The sequence below is a fragment of the Homo sapiens genome, chromosome 12 (assembly GCF_000001405.40).
Source record: "Homo sapiens chromosome 12, GRCh38.p14 Primary Assembly".
NCBI lineage: Eukaryota > Metazoa > Chordata > Mammalia > Primates > Hominidae > Homo > Homo sapiens.
In genome coordinates this window covers 23,890,236-23,918,046 of record NC_000012.12, presented here as the reverse complement: position 1 = coordinate 23,918,046, position 27,811 = coordinate 23,890,236, and the positions used below count along the sequence as shown (strand labels likewise).

Here is a 27,811-nt window from a genome sequence, read left to right as displayed (position 1 = left end):
CTACTACCAGTTTTTGTAGTCTTTATTTTATGAAATGAAGGAACGTATACTGTATAATTTATAACATATCACATTCGTTACCATATCATGAAGAATTACTCATAATTAGTAGATACCCAATTGATGGACTGTCTTGAAACTTCTTATTCATACCATTATAATTTCCATTTCCCAACATGTTGTACTTTTAAATGAGACCCATTACATTCTGTTGCTAATCACAATATATAATATAATAAAAATATTAGCCAATCATACCCACTTTTCAAAAATAAGAGTAAAATATCAGCAGTAAGAGGAACCAGAAAGGTCGACTAGTCCAACCTTTTGGAGGTATCCATGAATCCTCTATCTAGCATTTCTGATAAATGATCTGTTTTGTGTTTGGATACTTAAAGTGTTGTGGAGCACACTACCTGTTGAAGCAAGCAAAATGCCATCATTTTGACTGCTAAAGGGTTCTTTTTATTTTTATTTATTTTCTTTTATTTTTTGAGGCAGCGTCTCATTCTTTCACCCAGGCTGGAGTGCAGTGGTGCAATCTTAGCTTGCTGCAACCTCTGCCTCCCCGGCTCAAGCGATTCTCTTGCCTCAGCCACCAGAGTAGCTGGAATTAAAGGCATGAGCCACCAGGCCTATCCATTTTTTGTTTTTGTTTTTGTATTTTTAGTAGAGACAGGGTTTCACCATATTGGTCAGGCTGGTCTCGAACTCTTGGCATCATGTGATTTGCCCGCCTCAGCCTCCCAAAGTGCTAGGATTACAGACATGAGCCACTGCGCCCGGCCAGAAGTTTCTTTTTAATACTGAGCCTAAATGTACCTTCTCTCAATAATGCTTTTAATTATTTTAAAAAATCTTGTATCTCTATATGTAAATCTATTGTATATTATATAGCATTGTGATTATCTGTTTATATGCTAGCCTTTACAAGATAGGGCACCTGGTACATAGTAGACCTTCAATAAATATTAAATGAATTAAGGAATAGTTCAGGTTCTGTCCTCTAAAACCACATAATATAAATACAGAAATTCCTATGCCATGCCATGGTTACCTTTCAACAATTTTCTTAGATGTGTGTAGTGAGCTGTGTGTTCTGTATGTAACACAAAATATCCATGTATAAAATTTTAACGGTTAGTTTTTTTTTAGATATTAAAAAGCCCTGATAGAAATTCCATAGGCAGTAATCACCAGATGAGTTGGTAAAAATATTTAAAACCTAGACTTTACTGGTAGCTTCTGGATTGATGCCCATGTTGATACTGAATTGGGAATTCTAATATTACATTCCTTGATAATTCCCTGTGGGTTTCTAAGAACCGGAAAGGCTACATTGATTATTTATTATAAAATACATTTTACCCAATGTTTGCAATTAAAACAATATTGGTAACATTGAAGTATAAATTTCCCTTAGATTATAGTTCTTTATTGTTTCTTATATTTATCCACATTATCTCCAAAATATGAATGAGGGTTTACATTTCTTGACAGTACACCCACAGCAGTGCTTATTAAGTCTGAATAGTTTCTATATACTCCATGAGCTGAGGGGAGACAGTCCATATGGCAAGTAATTGGTGGTGTTTAAACTATCTCGACATCACTCCATTTTGAAGTAGCTATTATTTCATCCTGCTTTTTGCTGATAGCCTGCAGAAATCTACCTGGAACTGCACATTTTCTATTGATTTTCTTTTGCCAAATGATTGATGGAGCATTCTAGTTCAATTGTTTTCTCTTGGATTGTGTGCGGTTACACTCCTTTGTTTTCAAACATTTTATTAGAAGTATAAAATATTTCTAGATGAACAACATGGTCATTTTGGGAATGCTGATGGCCAAAATTATTGATGATAGTGTGTAAGAAAGAGGGTGAATCAACTATTTCAGTAGCTAAATAGCTACATAGATTGAAAAGGAAATTCTTACTAGTTTTTCTTTTTTCATTCTTATTTCTTGTGTTAGCTTGATTTTTCTGGTCAAAAATCATCCTTTTTGGGTTTAACCTCATGGTCCTCAGATGGCTCTTCAAAATGCACTGTATCAATCTAAGCCAAACTTAAGAGTTTGTGATTTTTTCTTGCAATGCTAGTGCAGCAAGTTCAGTGATACAATGCACCTGTGTCCCACATTTATTCTTTACAATAGACACCCATTTCTTTGTCTGGAAGTCTTAAGTCCTGCACATAGAATGAGGGAACCACTGTTTATGTGAATAGCAGTTTCGAATGAAACTTTCACAATGACTGAATCTTACAATAACATGTCCTACTGTCCTTGATTTTAAGGAGATTCAGCATCTCCTAAAGAAGCACATGGTGGGAATTTCTTTTATCTATGTTATTTGGAAATAAATGTCGTGTAGCAAAAAACCATATTCTGAATTCCTAGTAATGGGATGGGGTTTTGGTATGTTGGTAGTAGGAAGACTATTAGTATAGTTCTCGGTGTCATTCAAGTGATTTGTTTTAAACTTAATTGAAACTAACGTTATTTGAAGGCCCAGGATGCTTCAGAGCCAGTTGTAAGAACGTGATTACTCACTTTTCTAGCAAGATTCAGAAATCTTAGCTTCACACCACGAATTCTAAGTCTTATTTTTTAAATTCAGAAGTAAAATTTTTGGCTGTATAAAAATATTAAAATAACTCTTGACTCCTTTTCAAAGGTCCAAGTATATTAAACACAGATGGCTTCTCATAGCTAATTAGATTGTGTCGTATCCTAACCTTAACTATGGTTTAGAGCTAAGTGGTTTAAATGATATTCAATTCAATTTCAAAGAACAACAGCAATAATAATAGATAGCATTTATTCAGTATGTATACTGTTTGATTTGGTGCTACATGTTTCTATATGTACTCATTTACTTCCCTAAAAATCCATAAATAATGTACTACTTATGTTTCCTGTAATGGGAAAAGGGACTCAGAGAGGTTAAGTAACATGATCAAGGTCACAGAGGTAGGAAAGAACATAGCTAAGACTCAGTCTAGGTCTGTCTAATCAAAGCTTATGCTCTTAGACATTGCCCTCATGCCTCTACTTTGATTTATTATGCTTTATGTTAGGTCCTTCATTAGATTGAAAAATGAGTAATATTGGTTTTGGCTCAGAGTTTACAATCCAATAGTAAACTCACTTTAATTTTGGTTAAAGAGTTTCTTCTGGATTAAACGTCTATTAGATGGGTTTCAGTAATGGAAAGAAAGACCAGAAATGTGAGGTTTTGTATTTTCATCTAGAATTTTCAAGTACATTACTTATTATAATAAAAAAGTTAAGCTAAATTTGGAAGAAGATAAAAATGAATAAATGTGAACTACTAGTACAGAATTTAAAAACAATTACTTTAATTAATAATGAGACTAGTAATTGATTTTTTAAATATCCAGGTCCTTGGGAATCAGTAAGCTCTTTTGCTTTACTGCTTACATTTACATATTTTGTTGTTATTATTGGTATCACTCAAATGTCTGTGCCTCTTCCCTCTAATTCACTTCTTTCTCCTCTGCCGTGATAGAGATGAAATTATTTTTAAGGAAATAAAATTGAAACACTTGCTTCTAGATATACCTCAAGGAAATCCTGATTTCTAAATTGGTTTGAAGTTACTTGCCCTGGTAAATCAATGTCTATTTAATTAAGCCTATGTTGCATGGCCATAAATTAATTCCAACTACTATTATAACTGGAAAGCATCATGGAATATATCATGGTATATTAATTGAGTATAATGTTCTACTTTTATAACAGTGGAAATGTATTTGTAAAACAACTACTATGAAAAAAATTTAGAAAACCATCAGCTTATCCATTTTACTTACCCTCTGTAATGTTTTAAAAAAAAATTAGACTTCATTATACAGTGAGCACCAACAATAGTTGATTTTGTAGGAAATGAATTAATTTAGGGCTCTGGAGATAGAGGAAACAGATATTAACAGCTAATAATTATTATTTTGGAGATTATTCCAGAAGTTGTTTGCAAAGGTTTTAATTCCTTCAGAAGTTTCCTGTGACAAACTGAAGGTTGAGTTACCTTTCCAAAGCTTTACCTGGGTTAACAAGGATGAAATGCTGGATCAGACCACTATAGACTAAGCTATTGGATAATAAAATAACCCATATTATCTTTTCTAAGCATATAAATGAAGAAATTAGTAACAATTATATAAAAATTTATAATCTTTCATTGGAGTTCTATGGGGGAACAAGATATTGTCTGTTCTACGTAAATATTAGTAATGAATTGTCAATCTATTCAGTGCTTGCTTTCTTTTTTTTTTTTTTTTTCTTCTGAGACAGAGTTTTGCTCTTGTTGCCCAGGCTGGGGTGCAGTGGTGCAATCTCGGCTCACTGCAACCTCCACCTTCTGGTTTCAAGAGATTCTCCTGCCTTAGCCTCTTGAGTAGCTGGAATTATAGGTGGATGCCACCACACCTGGCTAATTTTTGTATTTTTAGTAGAGACGGGGTTTCACCATGTTGGCCAGGCTGGTCTCGAACTCCCGACCTCGTGATCCTCCTGCCTCGGCCTCCCAAAGTACTGGGATTACAGGCATGAGCCACTGTGCCTGGCCTATTCAGTGCTTTGTTTTAGAACAGTCGTCAAATATTTGCCTATGAGGAGTGTAAAAAGTTGATGTGGCAAAGAGAAAAGGAGCTAAAAAAAAAAGAACTTAAAAAAAGAAAAGAAAAAACATGTACCTAATGTAGATCTAACAACAATGTTCAATAAAAGCTTGTATTCAAATAAAAGCAATAGAAATGAGAAATACATTTTTGATTCTTTGGGGAAAAATCCAATTTAAAGCATATATTTAAGTTCTTTCATAAAAAAATTTTATATTTGACTTTTAATTAACAATGAAAATATGATAATATTTGGAGCAAGTCTAGCGCCAAATTCTAGTTCAGCCACTTTCTAACTGTGAGGCTTTATCATCTTAGGTAATATCTCTGAGCTAGTTTCTATCAGTAGAATGGACGTGATAATGTGTGCTTTGTAGTTTTAAAACATATTGCTTTATTGAAATATAATTCAGTACTATAAAATTTACCCACTTAATGTATAATTCAGTAGATTTTAGTATTTTCAGAATTGTGCAGTCATCACCACAATCTAATTTTAGAATATTTTCATTACTCTAAAAGACATCTTGTGACTATTAGCAGTCGTTCCCCATTTCCCCTCCCCACCCCCATACCCTACCCTAGACAACCACCAATCTACTTTCTATACAATTTTTTCTATTCTGGACATTGCATATAAATGGAATTGTAGAATATGTAGACCTTTGTGAATGGCTTCTTTCACTTGGCGTAATGTTTTCAAGGTTCATCAGTTTTGTAGCATGTATCAGTACTTCATTCCTTTTTATTATTGAATCATGTTCCATTGTATGGATATGCCACGTATTGTTTTTTCATTCATCATTTAACAGATTCTTGGCCTGTTTCCACTTTTTCGCTATTATGAATAATGCTGTTATGTACCTTTGGGTACAAGCTTTTGCATGGACATATGTTTTCAATTGTCTTGGGTATTTACCAAGGAGGGGAATTGCTAGGTCATATGGTAACTCTTTAGAAACTGCAAACTGTTTTTGAAAGTGGCTGCGCTATTTTACATTCCTAACAGCAATCTTTGATGGTTCCAATTTATCCACATCTTCTCCAACATTTGTTATTGTCTGTCCTTTTTATTTTAGCCATTCTAGCAGATGTGCAGTGACATCTTATTGTGATTTTGGTTTGCATTTCCTTGATAACTAATGCTGTTGAGCATCTTCTTATGTGCTTACTGATCATTTGTATATCTTCTGGGGAGAAATGTATATTCAGATCCTTTTCTCATTTTAAAAATGGATTATCTTTCTATTGTAAGTGTTGTACAATAATTCCATGTATATAAGTATATGCATATATATTTATATATAAATTATCAGGATTCTTTATAAATTCTGGGTGCAGTTCTCTTACCAGATATATATTTGCAAGTATTTTCTCCCATTCTTTGGATTGCCTTTTCACTTCATTGTTAGCATCATATTCAGTGCAAAAGTTTTTAATTTTAATGAAGTCCAATGTATCTGTTTTGTTCTTTTGTCACTTGTGTGTTTGGTGTCGAATGTAGCAAACCATTGCCTAACCCAAGGCCACGAAGATGTTCTTCTGTGTTTCCTTCTAAGTGGTTTATGGTTTTAGCTCTTACATATATGTCTACGGTCCAATAGTGTGTTGTTTTGGTGACCAGAAATAATACATGGAAAGCACCTAGAACAGTCACTGTTACATATCAATGCATAATTAGTGGGAGTCATTCAAACCACTTTGAAACCAAAGTTCATGAATATGTACTAGAACCTATCTTTAGGTCTCTCTCACATGTTGTTCTTACTGCTCTGCAAGGAACTGTAAGGAATAAAAGGTATACATCATTTAAAAAAACATTTCCAGAGAGGTTTTAATCATTATATGTTATTAATAAGTCATTTACAGTAACAAAAATGCAAAGACATGGAAGAAAAACCGAACAACAAGTTTGAGCAGATTTAAGGCTCTGCTGTTCATTTTTGTAAGTTTGTTAACATGAAGACATGCTGTAGTATAAACAAAATTGACTCTCTGGGAAATATATTGAAATTGAAAAAATTTGGCTTATATTTCATGATCATTTTAATTAATATCTAACATCTCTTGAGATGTCACAGAATGGTGTCTTCCTTAGTGGTTTAGTTTTATTTTTCAAAATAACATTTTTTTGGGGTTTTGTAAGTATTGGATAGATTATCCACATGTATTTCTGGAAAGTTAAGTAAGTATTTTAAGGAAAGGCAAGGTGAGATGTTTATGATGGTAAGGAGGTGAGTTTAAATATTGTTCCCTTTTGCAATGGAATTTTTTTTTGTTTTTCTTCTGTATTTCACTTCTGTACTATGATTTGAATATGACATTAGCAGGTATTATTTATTATATGCTTTGATATAAAATATCTGTTTCATAAGAAAAAATAATAGGAAGTAACTACTCAATTACTTCTGAAAGTGGGCTACTACATGAAGCAAGTTAGAATAAGAGTAGCTGTTGCTATTGTAGCTAAACCAGCTGCGAATGTTGTGAAGAGGTGGATCTGAAAGCAACTATAGATAATAGTTTACTCTGAGGAGACTATGTTTTCTGTTATAAATATACATTTTATGTTGAATAGAAAAATACACAGGTTGGGGAAGAAATCACATTTTACCCCATCTAAAAAAGGATAATCCCTTTAGATCACTGACAGGACAGTACGAAGAAGACTTACACTGCAGCTGCAGAAGTCTTTGGATAAATAGAGGATTTAATAATGTTCAAATATTTGTCCCAACCTCAAAAGGCACCCTGAAATAGAACTAACTTAACAGATGATACAGCTCTCTCCATATAGGTCTGGTGGCTCTTGCCCTGGGATTTCCTTGGGCATTTATTGTGTTTTGCTTACTAACTAATACAGTTATGGTAGCTATCTTTGGGGGATTAGGCTTCAGTCCTCTATAAATAATGTCAGCATAGAATGTAAGAGTGACAAACTTGAAAATAGGAAATGCGTATTTAAACCTGCGGGAAATCTTCCACATGGTTTGATGTTCTTGGACACATGAGAGCTAGGATTTTGAAAGGATTAATTAGCTTAGCCTAACTTTCCTTCAAATTTCAGAATCATATCTTACAGTTGCTACACACTTTGAGTATGCATTTAGCCAACTCCCTTTGAAATACATATTCTACAAGAAACATATTCTTTAAAATGTAATTTATATATCCTAGATTTCAGCACTCATTCTACCTCTATTATATGTGCTTTAATATCTTTTTAAGGCATGTATCATTTTCTAGAGTCCTTAGCATAAATAACTATCTTGAAATCAAAAGTTGTTGATAATATTTTAGTAAAAAAGGAATCCAAAGCAAGTAAGTTTATGTAGCCTTTAAAAATGTTTTCAGGGAACTGTGTGTGGATGGTGTGATGGAGAGGAAACCAGTATTTTGAGAGGTCTTTAAATGATCATGCCTCCATAAACTTGCCAGCAGCAAAAAACAAAAAACAAAAAAAAAGAGGATGGAAGTAGAGGTTGGGGTGGATTTGGTCCCCTTTGGAACACAAAGGTCTTTCAGTTGTCGGGGATTGGAATGGGGGTGTTTGGGTAGTGGAAAAAAAATGTTCTAGCATGTGGTAATGAGGTTAAAAAAAAAAGAAAACAGCAATGGATGATTACTTTTCTCCATCAAGGCTTCTTTATCCTCATAAGCTCAGACAGTGGTCAGCATGTTAGACACCCCTCCCTGTTTTATCCATCCCTTAACTATGTTCTTTGACAGGACTGGTTTATACAGCTGGGCCTTTGTTAAGCTAAGGGGGAAACTGTAGAGAACAGCAGAAAAGATGGCAGACTGAGTACCTATAAATGGTAAATGGTAAATACTGTATTGAAGTGCAAGATTCCAACTTGAAGGTTTTGCTTTTATTTGATTAAGTTTTTCTTTTCCAGATTTGTAAGGTGAACACTTTTACAATTTTTGTTTCAATTTTTGTACTGACAGATTTTGTGGTGATATGGGTAAATTGATTGTGCTAATCAGTAAAATTTCTTATGGCTATATTCTAACAAATGATGAGAATGAACTCAGTTATATTACCATCTAAAACTAGATATTCATATTATAGTTACAGTGTTTCAGAAAACACCTCCATTGTATGTGCCAAGGCATAGAACTGATTGAAAAGAGAAAGCATACAGGAAAAGCTATTTACTTCAAAAGGCTTATCTCTATGACGTACTTTTAAAGTATGAACAAATGGGAACTTAATAGTAATATTACTGTTAGCCCTGTTTGAAATATAATGCAAATCTTGTGCTGGGGTCTTATTGTGTGTTTATACTTGTCATACCATTGCTGGAGTTTGATGATTTTCTTCTCTGCAGTATATGCCACAACCTTTGAATTTTTATTTTGGGGGTTAGCATTCCTAACTTGCCCACAGTGGCAGTATGAACCATGCTTTTAAACTTTTTTTTTTTCTAAAAACAACAGGGCATGTGCTAAAACTAGAAAGATTAATGGGGAAAGAAGATAAACAGTTAAGACATAAAATGAGTTTAGAGGTCAAGCTAGAAAAATAGGAAAGCTTATGGATTTAATTCATATTCATCCAAGCAAAGGAGCTTTGGCATGAAAGGAGCCAATGAAGAGGCTCAGCATTCTTGTAACATCAACCATAGCTGCATCCCGCTGTTTTGGAGTTTGGGTTGATAGATGCTCATCGTCTTTGGCACTGCACCCTTACTTTTGGACTTTTCCTAATTAGGATGGCATATTCTTTATTTTTGCTGAGAAGTTCGGAAAATTTATCTCTGTCTAGTATGCCTGTCTCTCACATCAGAAGCTGTTGTTTGAGAAAAGATTTGTGCACTGTATATACGTTCCTTGCTGTCTATTTTGAATATAACATAAATATTTTCTACTTTGTACATTTTCAACAGCTGCTGTAGAAACAGGCTGTAACCAAGTCTGTATGGGGCATGGAAAGAAAGAGTGAGCCCCCTAAATTGGCCAGAATTTAGCAATATATAAACGATTCCTTGTCAGGGTTATTTGGATTCCAAAGAGGGTAGGGGGTCATAATATTTCTCTTCATTGGACTACTTAGACAGTCAGTTTTCAACAAATCTGATGCTGATGTTCAGTACTCATTTTAGCTGTGGGCCTCCTTTCTCATTTCTGCTGGGGGGAAGCATTCTCTGGAGGTTTTCTTTAGACGGCTTAACTTGCTTGATTTCACAATGACCTTTGAAAACAAAAGAAATTAAAACTAGACTGGTTACTTAATTATTTTTGTCATCATTATTAGATCCTAAATAAATTAAACATGCCACAGATTTTATTTCAAGACGTAGACCATGCTAAGAATAAGTCACTTTTGATTATGGAACAATTCGCTATTTATTTAGACTTAGCCAGTAATGTGAGATGGGAGGGAGAGAGCAAGAGTGGGGATGGGCACTTTAACAGGAAGAATCCCAGATAAGAAGTCAGGGAAGATGCTCAAAATATGTACCTAAGGATATTATTTTGGAATCTAAAATTTTATTCCCTATTTGCAGTTCTGCGATTGCAGTACTGTAAAGTCCCAAAGGGGTCAAAATGACCAAGTCATTAAAACAAGTAAAATGATTTTTTTATAGAGGATGCAGTATTATAAAGCCTGAATAGATATTCTTTCCTACTCGAAACATTTTTTTTTTTTTGCTTATGCACCTCACCTGACCAGTGTTATCCATGAATGAACATCCATCTTCTCCCATGATGAATATGGTGAATATGGCGAGCTGTTTTTACAGATTATTACAAACATTCCCATATATACGCATTTGTGATCTATGTAGACATTAAAACACTCTCATAAGGATAACATGAAAAAATTGGAATTACTAAGAAATTAGTAATACTAATTGTAGTAGTAATATTTAGGAATTACATAACATTTGAGTTTCCTTTTCATGGGTTAAAAATTGGAAGGAGTTTTCTACTTCTATTTTCCTTTAAAATACACAAAACTTTCAAATAGTTTTGAATTATATATTATTGAAAGTTGTTAGCATCAGATCATGATTAAATTAAGGTGGTGTGGTCCAACCCTTAATAGACGGGTTCCATAAAAAAAAGAAAGAATATTGATGTTCATTAACATATCATTAGATAGTAAAGTTTCTCTTCCTTCTGCTTCTCCTCCTCTTCGTCCTCTTCCTCCTCTTCCTCTAATTCCTCTTTTTGTCTCTCTCTCTCTGCACGCACGTGTGCACACATACACACATGCACACACATGGTTGCATATATAAACAAGACACAGACACCTCCCAAACTTAGGCCTGACAGGTTTATTCAACGATAGAACAATAGAAATGGAATTAATTCCTTTTTCACTACCAATTGTTCTGATAGAAAGCAGAAAAGATTGTCCCTGTAGCAGGGATTCTGCAGATAATTTTTAAAGATACCTTATTAGAGATATTGAGAATGGGTAAGCATTTCACACAGTATTTTTTTTTTTTTGGCTGTCTATTCGGCTGTCTATAACCTAAAATTTATACATATGGCAACCATATGTCTCAGAAAAATCCAAAAGGCTTCTGATTTTTAATACTGTCTTTATTTCCTTAACCCGGAAGCACACTATTCCTCGTTAATCAATTTGTTAATCAATCCTCTGAACTTTTGGGTCAGAAAAATTGTACTTATATTAAATATGGGGCTTTGCTTTTTAGTACTTCATATTATTAATAAAAGATTTTTACAGCCTATATCGGAAGAGATAGTTTTTACTAATCTCTAGATTCTTCCCCACAATCCTGTGTCTGTCCCAGGAATGGGGTATGTGGCTACTCTGCTTAGCTTTCAGACACACAAGGAGCCGAGCATCTGGGGAAACTCAGGAGGTGAGCACTTTCACGCTGACTCAGAGACCAGCCGTATGACTCCAGTCTGGCGCTGTCACGCCTGGTTATGGAAAGGCAAGAACAATGCCTCCCTTGAGAAGGGGGAAAAAAGTCTAGTGCAGTCACAATTTTGATGTAAAATTTAAATCATCCCTCCACATCCTGTGGACTTAGAGCTGTCAGAAAGGCAAAACCCATGCTCAAATGGAAAAAGCTTTTTATTTCCTTAAAAAGTATACATTCTCTAACTATAAATAAAAAGTTCTAGAATCACAGATCTTAATGCTAGATTATTCTAAGTAATTTATAGATAAATGGAACAAAAGGACTTTGACATTTTTAACCTGTAGATGGCTGAAGGTTAAACATATTTTTCAGTTTGCGATTAATGACAAATGTATAACAATACATGAATTAAATAATTTACAACAAAATGCTCCTATTGGACTTGTGTTGTTTTCTCCCAAGCTTAGGCATTTGGTCATTTTATCTATAACTTAAAAGAAATTTCTCTTCGATACTTAAAAGTCTTAATCATTTCTATTATTTTTCTTCAAGTGACTTGATTGAAATGTAGAATCTTTGATGATTAGAGAGACTCTGTGACCAAATGTTTTATCTCAGATAAAGGTGTTTCTGTTTTTGAGATAAGGAAATAAAATTATTACAATTTTTAATGATCGAAGGTAAAGTTAGGCAGAATTTTTAGTAGAACGTGCTTATTACCATACTCTTTCTTGTAAATCATGAGAAAAGTATTGATAATTTTTTTCAAAACAATATAGAATTATGTTAAAACATTTACTACCTCTTTTTAATGAAAGCACATTTGTACATAGGAGTCACAAATGTTCCTGTAAACTAGTTTTCCTTCAGTTTTGCTGTATTTATCACAATTAACTCTAATTAATCTTTTTCAAGTATTAAACATTATAAAATGATTTCAGTGGAGTTTAATTAAGTATTTTTTCTTCTGTTTTATTTATCAGGACTACTGTTGCTTTAGGCACATAGTAAGTATGGATTAATATCAAAATAATGTAATGAAACAGAAAGACATTTTAACTGGCAGATATACTTGTTTAGATAAATTTTAACCCTCCAGCCCAGCTATTATGTTACTCATAATAAAACAGTCTTCTTACTAGAACATTTTCTGGGTGTCTCCAGCCAATAAGACAAAGCCTAATTTTGGAGTAAAATTTTAGTGATTTACAGTTATTAGTGAAGCACTAAGAAAACAAGGTAGCAAAGGAAGACCTGAATTGTGATTTCTGAATCATTGTAGGATGGAATTTGGCTGCCATAAACTGTTTTTAAATGTTTGTCTCCCTGTTTAGAAAAGGATAGAACAGTGGAAGTGGAATTAACAAAACAAAAATGGACATTTTCTAGTTAGTTTTCCTGCTCACTTTAGGTACATTATTTCAAAAACTTTTAAAATATTCTGTGTCCAACTAGTAGTAAAGAAGCATTTATTTCTTTCAGATAATGACAAGAATCAGATTCTATTTCTGAGCCTTTCCTTATTTATCTTCAACTTGCTTTTGTTTTTCTTTTTTCATTTTATACCATTTCCTGGGAGAACCTTGTACCTTTACATTGTTTTGCGCATCTAATCCTCCCCTCCATCTCTGACTTTGGTGGCACGGAAGAGGCTGGGAAAAGCTATTTGGTAAAAGTAGTGATGCTAGCAAAGAGAAGAGCAAAAAGGTGGTGAAGAAGTGAAAAGTGCTGCTCTTCTTATCAGAAAGAAGGAAAGGTGTAACGAAGTACTTGATCTCAATGCAGAGAACATCTCAGAAACTAAACATGTGGCAAGGTAAACATAGGGGGCAACCTTGATGAAGATCACTTCAAAAGTTGTTGGTGACCACATTTTTGATGAACATGTTTTTAAATACAGTTTGAACTTTTGTAATGTATAATAAAATATTTTGTATAAACTCAGATTATATTTAAATACAGAATATTAATTTATTCATAAGTAAATATAGCTCAAAAGTAGTTTTGATTTTAGATTTACATGTTATGGTAAATTTTGTTGATCTCTACTCTGGTGAAATACATAGTGAAGATTACAAGGAAGTTTATCTTTTTTATTATTCTATGTTGTCTTTTTCTATATTTCTTTGAAATCTGTGTTTCTACTTCAATTTATATTTTATGCCAGGACCTGATGAACTTGTTCATGCCGCTAAATAACGGTATAATGAACCAGGTTTTTGTATGTGGGAAGAAATGGGTAGAGAAGTATGGAGATTGGCATGTTCTATATCAGAAACTGATGGCAAGGAGGATTTAGAGAAAAGAGAAGAAAAATGGTATAAAAGTTTGAAAGACTGCATGTTTACCATAAATAAATCTTCTATTTAAAGGCTTCTGAATATTATATATGACAGACTTGGTTATAAAAATTTACATGGAATGCTCACAGAGTAAACTCTCAACTTAGAAAAATAAAGATGTTCAAAACATGTAAGAGAGAAAAGGAAAGCATGAACTATAAGATATAATAATAATTGAAATTCATAGATAAGAGTAATGAAATTGATATTTTTTATTAAAGTGATATGCTAAGTTTGTGTAATTCTGTTTATGCATCAAATAAAAGTGTTTGTTGTTTCATTCATTTGAATTAGAAACCTTTCTATTCAAGCTCAATGTATGTTTTGAATTGCCATATTGGATAAGTAACATTCTATTGTGAAACAATCTTTAATACACAGTAAAGTTTAATTCCTAATATTGATTAGCCTTTTCACAACAACCTTAATTACAACAGGAACCAGACAAGTAAATGTAAATGTCCTGAACAAATAGTCTTGCTACTCGAAAAACTTAAGGCACATAACTTCCAGGAAAGTATTATTCTCTTTGAATTGCCAATTTTTATTTTGCTTTGCATATTCATATTCAGTGTTCCCTTCAGAAGATGCAATCTATTAAATATTTTTAATTAAAAGAGTTTTTTTTGAGACAGGGTCTCACTTTGTTGCCCAGGCTGTTGTGCAGAAGCACTATCATAGCTCACTGCAGCCTTGCTCTCCTGGGCTCAAGCAATCCTCCACCTCAGCCTCCTGAGTTGCTCGCACTACAGGCGGAGGCCATCATACCCGGCTAATTTTGAAATTTTTTTATAGAAATGGAGTCTCCCAGTTTTGCAGGCTGGTGTCGAATTCCAGGGCTCAAGGAATCTTCCTGCCTTGGTCTCCTAAAGTGCTAGAATAAAGGGGTGAGCAACCACACCAAGCCCTCTGTGTCTGACCCATTCTTCATTACCCTGTTGAATTATTGTATTTTCTGGGAAGCATTTTCTGATTAGTGAGATATCATCTATTATCTATCTATCTCCTGTAGCACTCATATTTTTAAAAAGGCATGCACCTTACAATATTCTTTCTTGATTTATTAATTATGTTGCTGTCTAACGGGCACATAGTATCTTTCACTAAATGTTTTTCCACTAATGAATGAATAGGTGGATAAATGGATGAGTAGGTATATATTTCCTGTTTCCATCAGAACTCTAACTTCCTTAAAGGTAAAGCAGAAGGGTCGTCATATCTTAGTTGCCGTGTTTTATTTATGACACAAAGGTAACTTGCTTGGCATAAAATAGGGACTCATTCAATTCGTTAATTTATTTATAAAAGAAATACATTGCCAACTATGTGCTAGGAATTATACTGCCCTATTATTAATTGTGTCTCATTTGGTGTAGAGGATTAGAATATTTGGGAAAACAAATGCAGAGCAATTTGCAAAGGACTTTATCATACACATAAAGTCACATCCTTTGCATTAATTTTGGTGACATAAAGTGAAATGGTCAAAAACAGAACTGTACTTGAAAAAAATTTACATGAAAGACACGCTACATGATACAGGAACTGAAGAAATTAAAAATGACATTCTTGTTTTCCAGATGCTTCTATTGTAGTTTCAGATACTGTATATACTAATAAAAAATGTTTAATTTTTTTATGCATGCAACTGAAAAAGTTGATGATATAGTTTGAGATTGGACAATGTTGCTTCTGCCATGGTGGTAGGAAGGGATGGCTTTGTAGAAGAACTGGAATTTGAGTTTCCTCTTTCTAGATATTTATTTTTGCAATTTTTTATATATAACTGCAAACTTTAAGATAAATAATATTATCATGCCGAAAGAACAACCAGTAGAAGGCACTGCATCCTAGGATTTTAATTTGTGTATTATCTAGTCAAAGGTTAAAATATTTAAAGAAAGAAACTTAAAAAAGAATGTACTATATAAGGAAAGCAATCCCTATTCTGAGTCTTTCATTTTATAATGTTCCAAATGCAGAATATCTTTAACTCTGTACATGTCATTTTCCAGAATAATTGTACCAAAGAACATTTCCTAAAAGTTTTTTTTAAAGTTTTTAGCAGTAAGTAGGTGATAGCTCAGTAATAAGTCTATTAGTAGTTGACTATGTAGTGCTTATTGGTAAACTTACTTAACTCTTATAATCTTTTACTTACACATGTTAAATAAAGATAACATTTTTAACTAGAGCTATAATATTTTTCTCAAGTTTTTTGAAAACATTATTAGAGCTTACCAATTCCTTTATGCTGAAATTATTTAAAAAAGGATACTGTTATTGAACTCTATTTTCTTATTTCTGACAATACTGAGACATATTCGAAGCATACTTGTCCTATAAGATTTAATCTTAAAGCTATACCTAGGTAGGGCATAATCAGAGGGTTGCTGGTTTTAGTAGCTATTCATGTAACATGTACACTGGAAGACTATTATTTTCAGAAAGGGTCTAAGTACTGGGCAAGTAGCTGTGAACAAAAATATAGTCTGCCTATGTGGATCTCATAGTGGGAGAGATTGACCATAAACAAATAAGTGTAAAATATATCAAGTGATTATAAAGGCTGCGAACAAAATGGCGTAAGGACTAAGAATGGAATGGAGTGCAGGTTTAGGACAAATGACCAAGGAAAGCCTTACTGAGGAAATAACGTTTGAGCAGAAAACTAAATGAAGAGAGGAAGAAGGCAAGCGTTATGTCTAGGGTAGGAGGATTCCAGACTGACTAAAATATCAACTATGAAAACAAAGTGCTTAAATCAATGATATATTATTACCTTTTTTATTGCTGCTGTAACAAATCATCACAAATATAGTGGCTTAAAAAATACAAATGTATTCTTTTACAGTTTTGGAGGTCAGAAGTCCTAAAATCAAGGTGTTGTCAGGTCCACATTTCTTCTAGAGGCTCTAGGAGAGGATCTGTTCCATTGCATTTTCTAGCTTGTAGAGGCTGCCTACATTCCTTGGTTCACGGCCTCATCTTCCATCTTCAAAGCCAGTAGCATAGTATCATCCAGTCTCTTCCTCTGACTCTGACTTTTCTTCTCCCTCTTATAAGGGTGTTTATGATTTCTTTGGACCCACCAACAATATTCAGAATAATCTCCCCATTTCAAATTTCAAAATACTTAATTTAATTACACATGCAAAAAGTCCCTTTTGACATGTAAGGTATTAAGACCTGGACATCTTGGTTTGGGGAGCATTATTCTCTTTCTTCTGTTGTTTTTTGTTTGTTTGTTTTGAGACAGAGTCTTGCTCTGTCACCAGGCTGGAGAGCAGTGGCGCGATCTCAGCTCACTGCAACCTCCGCTTCCCAGGTTCAAGTGATTCCCCTGCCTCAGCCTCCCAAGTAGCTGGAACTACAGGTGTGCACCACCACACCCGGCTAATTTTTTGTATTTCAGTAGAGATGGGGTTTCACCATGTTGGCTGGGCTGACCTCGTGATCCACCCATCTCAGCCTCCCAGAGTGCTGGGATTACAGGCATGAGTCACTGCACTTGGCCTGGGGGTGGGCATTATTCTTACTACTACAAATTATTTGCAACATTGACTGTGTATTAAAATCATGGGGAGCTTTAAAAATTTCTGATACCCGGTCACCCTCCAGAACCAATAACATCAGAATTTCTAAGGGTAAAACCCAGGGATCAGTATTTTTTAAACCTCTCCAGGTAATTCCAATGTGCAGGCAAAGGTTTAGAACCACTGCTTTATCTTTCTGTTGCAGTCTTACACCTTCTACCCTACCACTAAGTTTGCCATCCATGTCTGAACACATTGGAGACAGCCTACTTGCAGAGTGATTATAAGGCATATGGACAGCCTTCAGCCAATAGCAAAAGACCCCAGTAGTTTTCTATTTACTGTCACATTTATCAAGAGTAGCTTAATTATGCAGGATGCTACAAGGGGAAGTAAAGGGAAGGAGACTCCTGTAAAAGCAAGTTGCTTTTTACAAGTGAGCATGTTTCTTATTTTGTTCATGTAACTCAGCAATTCCAGGAGTGTTACAGGCTACATTTGGGATTTGATCCATATTCCTCAATCTCTTCTTTTTTTCAAGTAAGCTTGAACCCTAAATTTATATAATACTTTCTAAAAGTATCTCTGCATCTTTGCTTTTATTATTACTTCCTATATGAAATTCCCTGTCTATTTATCCTCAGGCTTTTGTTTATCCTTTTTCCTTGAAAGTCAACTGGTTCAACAATTCTGTGAGGCATTTAAGGATACTCTGGTCCTCAAGAAGCTCTCAGATACTTAGCTATAATGTCATTTGATCTACGGACTGAACTGTCTTTCATTAGTATTTATTCTTTTATTTAAAATATTCTCAACCAGCTCATAAGCTTCTTTAACCAGAGGCCGAGAAATAGGTTTTTTATTCCCATTAAATAAGTGTCTTGCACATGGTAGCTGATCATCAAATAGTTGTTGATGATTTGGAAGATTTTGCTTGTGCCTTAAAATTAGATGTCATTTCTTTCAAGAAAGTTTTTTGACCACAAAGTGAGCTAAGACCAGTGTTACGTCATCATACTCCCCAAGGCAGTTTCACATTAGATTATATTTGTCTGTCTTATGTCAGTTTCTTTGAAGTCTGAGTTTTGTTCATTGGTAAGCCTAGCACCACAGAAGTGATAAAAATCATCTCTAAAGGATAAGAGCATACGCCAGCCTAGATGCTCACATTGTTACAAATTGCAACACAGATATGTAGTTAGTGTAAGTCATATAATGTAAGCTATATAAATATATGCACACTTGTGGTGCCTTTTTTTTTTTTTCTTTTTTTTCAGACGGAGTTTTGCTTTTGTTGCCCAGGCTGGATGCAATGGTGTGATCTCGGCTCACTACAACCTCTGCCTCCCAGGTTCAAGTGATTCTCCTGTCTCAGCCTCCTAAATAGCTGAGATTACAGGCATGCACCACCATGCCCAGCTAATTTTGTATTTTTAGTAGAGATGGGGTTTCTCCATGTTGGTCAGGCTGATCTGGAACTCATGTGATCTGCCCGCCTCAGCCTCCCAAAGTGCTGAGATTATAGGCGTGAGCCACTGCAACCGGCCTGTGGTGCCTTCTTAATGAGACTTTTTTCTGCCCAAGTGTTTCAACACTTTGATAGATGGACAAAAATTTAAGAATCTAATGTTATTGGTGATTTTGTTGTCAATATTTTTGAGAAGTACTATGGGTCATAGTAAACATGAATAATACAACCAACAGATTGATATATCTATATGTAATTTGTTATATAGTTTACTTTTCTGACTTAGTAGCCTATTATTGAAGTATAACCGTGGTTGCTTTTATTATAACGATTTAACAAATCTTTAAGCAATCTTTTACCTGAATTATAAATACTTTCAAGGCCAATGCATTGAGAACATTCTATAACACTCTGAAAATGGAATTGAAATAAGTATGAAATATGTGACATTCTAGGATCAGTTGCCTTCCGGCATCATGACGCTTTCACGTTCAGTGTTATAAACCTTAACCTTTTTTGCTCTCTAGAATGCTATATATAGAGAATACACACTCAGTTAAATAGAAAGTTAATTTAGGTTTTGAAATAACCAGAAGTTTTGATAAAACTATCAATGTCTTGTCAGTCTACCTTAACAACCTGTGTCTACTTTTGGACTTTCAGTTTTCATAATTGATGTTAATAATGATATTAATAAAGTAGAAATCAACAGAAAGGTCATGGTTCTGAAGGTCATAGAATTGTATTAACTTAGGAAAGGCTAGCTGATCTTGCTTTCTGCTTTCATGACTCAGAAACTGGCTCTTGTCAATAGACTAGAGTTTTTAGACATTGAGAGACTATACATGAGTCTGAGGCAGACACCAGAATACCAGTGTATTAATTCCAGTAAGAATGATAATGCCCACTCAGACCACAAATGCTAACGTTTGTATAACAAAGGGATAATCTCCTTATAGTCAAGCTACATGCAAAACTAAGAAATAATTAAAAGTTTCCTTATTAGTTTAATAAATCACTTCACAAAGACCTTAAACATTTAAAGCCTGTTCTGTCCACAAACTCTTTACATGAGAATCAGAAGTTTGCCTGTAGAACATCGAATCAGAACAGTGGGAATTAAATATCTCTAGTGTCATGGGTTATTATGTTATTATGTAATATATCAATTTAGTGTGTGATATGGTATTGCCAATGAAACTAGAACTATTCTGGCTTTGTTAACTCCAGCTCCTCACATGCTTCTCCATACTTAGAGTATACTTGGAATAGGCCTTGTTCATGGGATTGGAAATAGTTAAAATTACTTGAAATGTGGTATCCAAATCTACTTCTCCTTTAGACAATGCTGACATGGTAGCTGCCCCTATTTCCTCCTCTTTGTCTGTTTCTTTGGCTGATCAACACCTGTACTATTAAGATTTTGTTTTGAACACTTGCTATTACATCTGATCGGTTTACTGTTAAGTATTGCTGGCCAGGGAGCATTTATCTAATGGGAAACTTAGTATTTTATGTTGATTGTATAGTGAAACCCTTTACTAGGCAATCTGTTTTCCTCATGTTTGAGTGTTTTTGTTTTTTGAGGGTGGGTGGGTTGCACTGTAGTTTTAGTCTGTTAAATAAACACGGGCTATTATATATTGACTGTGTATTCTGTGTTAAATAATACACTAATTATTTGTCACATGATACATAGTCCATTTTCAAAAAGCCTTATGAGGTAGATATTTTTCACCTTAAAGATGAGTAAGTTGAGATAGAGAAATTAAGTCTCAGCTAGTAAGTGACAGAATCAGTATTTTCATTCCGACTTGTCTGATTCTAAAGCCCTTATTTTTTTCTACTGTCCTAATATTTTTAATAGAATATCTCCTGTACTTGAATGCATGTTTTCTTTTGAAACTTATAACACTAAAAATAACATTATTCATCAATGATTAGAGGCATTTGGGGGAACACACTTTAAATTTAAAAATCAGTGATCTATATGAAGGAAGTGTTGTGGTAGTTAGTAAATACTTCCCTGCCTCCCATCTCACTGGTCTAGAATAAGAATGAATGATTTTGTAAACACTCTTTGTTTGTTGAACAAAAAATAACAGCTTTTTCAAGGTCAGATTAAGTTGTAAATACTACAAGAAAGTTTTTTAAATTAAATATTTTAACTTGTCATTATTTCTATGGGAATAATTTAATGAAAGGAAAAGGAATTTTCTATTTAAAATATTTGCCACATATTTTTAACCTCTGATAATATTCTGAATCAGACTCACGTACAAAGAAAATGTTTAATTCTTGTTCAATTATCTAAGCTCATTTTCATGTAGACTTTAGCTCATCAAAACAAAATATCCTTCTTTGGGTTTTTTTCTTTTATTTAAGTATCCTAAGGATAAATAAGTCAGAATTATTCACATCTAAATCATTCATAGAGTTGTGAAAATAGAATTGAAATATTTTAATATTCTCACCTTTTTTTTTTTTTTTTTACTACCTTGCAACTTTGTTATTATAACTAAATGCCCAAATTGGGTAATTTGGGGAGATGAGGGAAAGAAAATTCTCAAATGTTTTAAGATTAACAGTGATTGTAAAATTTATTCAATCCTTAATAAGCTTTAAACAAATATTAAACTTTCTGTCAGTTGCTGTGAGGTTTGCTTATAACCAATATTTCTACATTTTACAATAATCTTACTTTCAATAAAATGTAAATTTGTTTTAATGGCAATCATTTATATATTGAGTCTATTTTTTGATGAAAGAAATTTTAGTTATTTCTCTTCTTTTAAACTGCCAACAGTATTTGCTATTCACAGATGTTCTGTCTTCAATAAGGTCTATCAGAGTGTAAAACTAGATGGGTATTTTTCTTCCCTCTAAAATGGAATGGTCTTTCATTATGCAGTGTTCTTAGGTGAATTCTCTTGTTTAAGAAGCCAGAATACAAGAGAGTGCTATATTAGTGTATTATTCTCACAACAAACAAGCACTGTTCTGTTGCTACCTGCTTGGCCATTGTTTCTGATTGTGTGTGCTTTGCAGTGGTATTTGGATGGTTTCCTGCTCTCTGCTAGCACAAAAAGGCATTTCTGTTACAATGGCCCCTAACCACACAATGACGGCATTAAGGATTTATGTGGAGGTTTCATTATTTTCTCCTCTTTTGTTCCTTCCAGGATGTCTTCCAAGCGACCAGCCTCTCCGTATGGGGAAGCAGATGGAGAGGTAGCCATGGTGACAAGCAGACAGAAAGTGGAAGAAGAGGAGAGTGACGGGCTCCCAGCCTTTCACCTTCCCTTGCATGTGAGTTTTCCCAACAAGCCTCACTCTGAGGAATTTCAGCCAGTTTCTCTGCTGACGCAAGAGACTTGTGGCCATAGGACTCCCACTTCTCAGCACAATACAATGGTAGGTTTCTCATGGTTTATTGTGCCTACACTCACTTTTTGACCAGTCTACTCCTCTAATAGTTTGGCCTCAGTCCTTTGCTTTATAATTAACATCTACTTAAGAACCCATGCACAAGATTCACCCCTGGCGTCTTAGAATTCTTTAAATTTGTTCCAATAAGCAGCATAAGATACGCTGTTTTCGTTTCTTTTGTATTTTTCAAGACTTCTTGCATTTGAGACACTTACAATTTAATTAGAGGGGAAAAAATATACAAAATATAAAAATAATGTTAAAGTAAGATATTTAAAATTATTCAGCATGAAAATTTGGTGTCATACTTTTTCTAATAAAAGTTTTTTTTTCTGGTAGAGTTACAATGAACATAGTTTGAACATTTCCAACATGATAAATCAGTGTTATTCTATTTTTTGCTTTGCCAAGATTGGACTCTATAATATTCCCTAACAGTACTTAGAATTTCATAGAGGAATATATTTCATAGAGACTATAGTTTTCTAATATGAATACACCAATTTCTAACTCAGGCCTATTCACACTGTTGTTTCGTTAATTCGGTAATTTTTTTTTTTTTTTTTTTTGCATCCTATTCTGGAATATGCAACTCTGGATAAATCCTCTGACCCCTTATCCTAGGGTCTGGATCACTGTAGAAGATTAGGAAACCAGGACTTTGTGGATGAGAGGAAAGAAGCCAGCATAACATCTCTGGCTGCAGCTTAAACAGCACACATAAACACAAATAAGTCATTGTGGTCCTTCTTAGCAACTTAAATACATAGAATCATAATGTTAAGAAGGTAGTGGGGCACTTACCACCATTAAAGGCATCCTCACCTTTTCAGTGTGGCTGCTTGGGTGGATCACATTTTTGTGACTGCTCCACCTTTTCTACTTTAAGGATGTTAGTGTTGTTAATTTGAACCTGAATTACACCAACAAAAATATATTTTATCTTACATTCTACTGCCTTTAAAGGCAGCTCTAATTCTGCTAAATCTTTTTTTTTCCTCCAGGAAATTATTGCCTGTCATAAATATACTTAGAGCTGAAATATGTCCACTTGTTCATGTTTTTGAATTATTGCATGTGGAATTAAATCAAGAAGAAGAATCAGTTATCTTCTGATAGCTGTGTAATAGATCAATACTTTGATTTTCATATTAGATTTAAATATTCCCATTCAACATTTCAGCCTCATAGGTCAAGATTTCTTTGGGCATTTGACAATTCCAAGATTTTTCCACCAAGAATAATGTTTTAGGTCGGGCGTGGTGGCTCACACCTGTAATCCCAGCACTTTGGGAGGCCAAGGTGAGTAGATCACTTGAGGTCAGGAGTTCAAGACTAGCTGGCCAACATAGTGAAACCCCATCTCTACTGAAAATACAAAGATTAGCTGGGCATGGTGACATATGCCTGTAATCCCAGCTACGTGGGAAGTTGATGCAGGAGAATCGCTTGAACCCAGGAGGCAGAGGTTGCAGTGAGCCGAGATCGCACCACTACACTCGAGCCTGGTGATAGAGTGAGACTCCATCTCAAAAATAATAATAATAATAATAGTAATGTTTTAGCTAACTCATATGTCAGACATATAGAAGTGGTGTTGATAGCACTTCTTGATGGTATAATAACTCATTTAACCTTCACAGTAATTCAGTGAGGTATTATTATTAATTCTGTTTTACAGATGAGAAAACTGACGCAAAGAGAGGTTAAATAACTTGTTCGGATCAGCTAATTCATGGAAGGACCAGGATTTAACCAAGCATTCTGTCTTTGGAGTCCATGCTTACAAACATTATTCATGCTGCTGCTTCACAAGAGCACAGGCATATTTCATATTCTGATTATCTATTTCTTTGCAAGTTAAATCTTACTGCACATCATTCCTCCCTCTCCTTTTTACTGTGAGCTTACGTAAGTTATGTACAATGATGAAACTTTTTATCTTCCTCTTACAAAGGTTAAACTAGGAAAAGGAGACAATGGGTAGTACACAGGTCAGTAGTGTAAGAAAGTCAGACATTCCATTTGGCATTACATCACTCCTTATGCCTTTTCCACTTTTAATACTTTCATCACTGTCCTCTTTCAGAAAGTATCTAATTAGGAATGTTGTGATAGTACCATAAATACAAACATATACATTTGCAGAGATGAATGTAGATAATTATGACTAGAAGAATACCAGAAAGATAAATGGAAGATGATTTTAAGTATACTGAAGGATGGGTATGAGAGAAGTATATTAAACTGATACATACATAATGTAGTTTCATGAGGGGATGCTGTAATGTAGGTAGTTAATACAAATGAAACCATTCCTATTTTTTTTTTTTGAGATGGAGTCCCGCCCTGTCACCAGGCTGGAGAGCAGTGGCGCGATCTCAGCTCACTGCAACCTCCACCTACTAGGTTTAAGCAGTTCTCCTGCCTCAGCCTCCCAAGTAGCTGGGATTACAGGCCCCCGCCACCAAGCCCAGCTAATTTTTATATTTTTAATAGAGACAGGGTTTCACCATGTTGGCCAGGATGGTCTCGATCCCCTGACCTTGTGATCCGCCCACATCGGCCTCCCAAAGTGCTGGGATTACAGGCGTGAGCCACCACACCTGGCCAAAACCATTCCATTTTTAATGGTGAATTCAGTCTAACTAAAAAACGATGAACTGCCTACACTGTACCATGTTTTGTGCTAGACACTACGGAAATAGATTTGAGTAAGACACAAACTTCTTTCCTCAGTGAACTTCATCTAAAGCAGAAGTTCTCTTTAATTTTTTTAGAGACAGGTTTACGCAGGCTGTAATGCAGTGGCACAATCATAGCTCACCGTAGCCTTGAACTCCTGGGCTCTAAAGCAAGAGTTTCTTAACTGGGGTCTATAGTTCTCCTAAAAACGAATTGAGAATTTTTCTATATGTCAGCATATCAGAGTAGCACTATGGTTTCCATTGGATTCTTAAGTAGATCTGTAACCCAAAAAGGTTAAGATCCGTTATTCTAGAAGTTAGTACAGTTTGGATACAAATGATTGTTTTAGTGACATCAGCACTTATACTTTTCTCTTATATTTTTAATTAGTTTCTAAATTTGTTTCTGCTGCATATGTTTCTTGATTCCAGCTGTTTTTTTCTGTCTTGAGTAAATAGTTGGAAGAGTTACCTATATGATCTCAAACATTCAACCTCTTTCCAAACTTACTTTCAACTTCCACAAGACTTGTTTCCTGATAAATGACTTGGATTGTTTATGTCACTTTTGAAGCTAATGTGGGCTCTGTTGCACATAGGATTTAGTCCAAAACACCTTTTCTTAGCAAAAGAAAAATCTCTATAGACTAGCATCAAACCATGGCTTTAGTGTCTTCTATTAACACATCCTACTGTGGACACAATGCCCTGGTAATGCCAAGCTTTTCACACATGTTCATGAGCATACCAGATGGCCTTTGAATGGCACAGTTTTATTCTTTCTACTTGGAAAACTCTCTATTTTCACATGTTACCTTCCTGGTGAATTATATTTCTCCCATAAGACTCAGTTCAAAAATTGCTTTTGGTTAGATGCTTTCACTGACCTCCCAAGGCAAAATGGTTACTGCATTATTATTTCATCCATGAGAATTATTTATATATTTTCTCATGATCTACATTATAATTTATTTATTTACATGTCTGCCTTTTTATATACTGTATTCCTTTTTGAAGGCATAGTCATATATATGTATATTTATGTTTCTGGGATCTAACATATACTAGATATTCAACTTACGATTATTGACTAAGTTTACATGGATGAGTAAATATGTTTTAGGCAGAGTAGTGAAGGACAGTAATTAATAGTGATTTCATTTTCTAGCAATTTTAGAACTAAAGTAGAATCTACTAATGTATAATATATCCAGAAAGCAGAAAGTCATGATATATTCAAATTATTAAACTGATTAAGATACATTTTACTCATGTATCAAAATTATTGAATATATTTGTAGTATTCTTCAATATAAATAATTTCTCTTTTTATTCTGGCTACCAGGCCATTGTCATATTCACAAAATAGGTTCTTTTATTTCTGTAAGGAAATACATTCTCTCTTTTTTTCTATTCCATATCTTTGAAAACAGAGAATGCTTCATAGTCTTTATATCATAGAGTTCAATTTAAGAAAAAAAAAGAAGGCAGCTTTTCATTGTGTATTTGTGTGTGACATTCATACTCCATTCTTAAATAAAGAAGAGAGATGCTGGGAGGTATATATTTTGTATTGCCTGAATAGGTTAGAGACAAGATACAACTGTTGAGTGATCCCTGTAATGCTGGCTTGAAGTTATGGAGAAATGCTTTCAGTATAAAACTTAAGTTGGAAAGAGTTCTTGAGATAGAAGTTCTGTACACTTAATTACTATTCCCATATAAAGACTTTGAGGAAGTAGGATGCTTTGTTCGGTTTCAGGTTATGCAAATGTTACGGTTTGAAACTGAGTCAGATAAAGATGTAATTCTTCCTTTCTGAAATTGTGTTTATTGCCTCACTATTTTGGAGAAACAAATGCCTAAGAGCGACTTACAAACAGCTGTAAGTGGTATAAATACTTAAAGTTCATTTATTCCTGGAATATTTCACTCAGTGTTCAGAGTGCACTACAGATGAGCTTTCTTAAGCACACTATATACATATACATATATTCACAAAATATTGTCAGATTTCTAATCAATGTAAGACTGAGACACAGATTGTTATAAGTCTATGAAAAAGACTGATTCTGTTGGTTCCTTCTCTGAAGCTTTCATAATCTTGCCAAGCAATTAAGAGCAACATTTGATTCTCATATAATCTTCGCACAGTTGAAAGCAATGTGAAAGTATGATTCTGACATTAGTGAAAAGGCAGTCCTGAGCTTTATTCTTATTGGTAGTTAAATCTCCAATTGTCTCCTTTATTGTTTTCCTTCTTTTCTTTTTTTTTTTTCAACTTGACTTTGGAGGCTGTTGCTTCAAAATTTCAGAGACAAGCAAGAATCACTGTAATTTTGGGGTCACTGTTAATAATAGTTTGGATACAGATGGATTTATTTGATGATGGAAAGGACTCTCCAGAATGCGTCCTCATGTCAATCAATATGAGTATTTGTGGGCACCAGAAGGGAATAGAGTACTCTGAGGAGAAATCAAGTAGCAATATCAGAAGCAGCTGGGGTAACTCTATGGTGACCGTTTTGGTGACCGTTTTGGTGCCCGTTTTCTGTCTGGTTGTATGCTACTTCTTTGCTACTTCTGTTGGTTAGATTGTTGTTCCAGTGTCAAATGTGATGTGAAATGAAAGTCTTGACCACCTGTGGTTGTTGAATAATCAGTTGTCATTTTTTTAAATAAAAAGCATATTTTATCTTAGCCAAATTCTCTTTTGATTCCTTAAAATACTTGTGTGTTGAGTGAACAGTGTAATTTTTTTTTTTTTTTTGAAATGGAGTTCCGTTCTTGTTGCCTAGGCTGGAGTGCAATGACATAGTCTTGGCTCGCTGCAACTTCCGCCTCCCACATTCAAG

The 27,811-nt window shown here is 34.3% G+C and overlaps 1 protein-coding gene across 42 annotated transcripts in view; it reads left to right on the top strand.

Moving 5' to 3' along the window:
- Positions 1–27,811, top strand: part of SOX5 (SRY-box transcription factor 5) — a 1,033,147-nt gene that overhangs the window by 644,604 nt on the left and 360,732 nt on the right. For 35 of the 42 annotated variants that reach the window (XM_024449159.2, XM_024449158.2, XM_047429458.1 and 32 more), the window contains one exon: positions 22,023–22,254. In XM_024449159.2, the coding sequence (XP_024304927.1) occupies positions 22,024–22,254 (231 nt within the window). In that variant the 5' untranslated portion in view covers position 22,023. The remainder of the gene's footprint in view (positions 1–22,022; positions 22,255–27,811) is intronic. The other 7 variants (XM_047429465.1, XM_047429464.1, XM_047429455.1 and 4 more) reach the window with 1 other exon arrangement.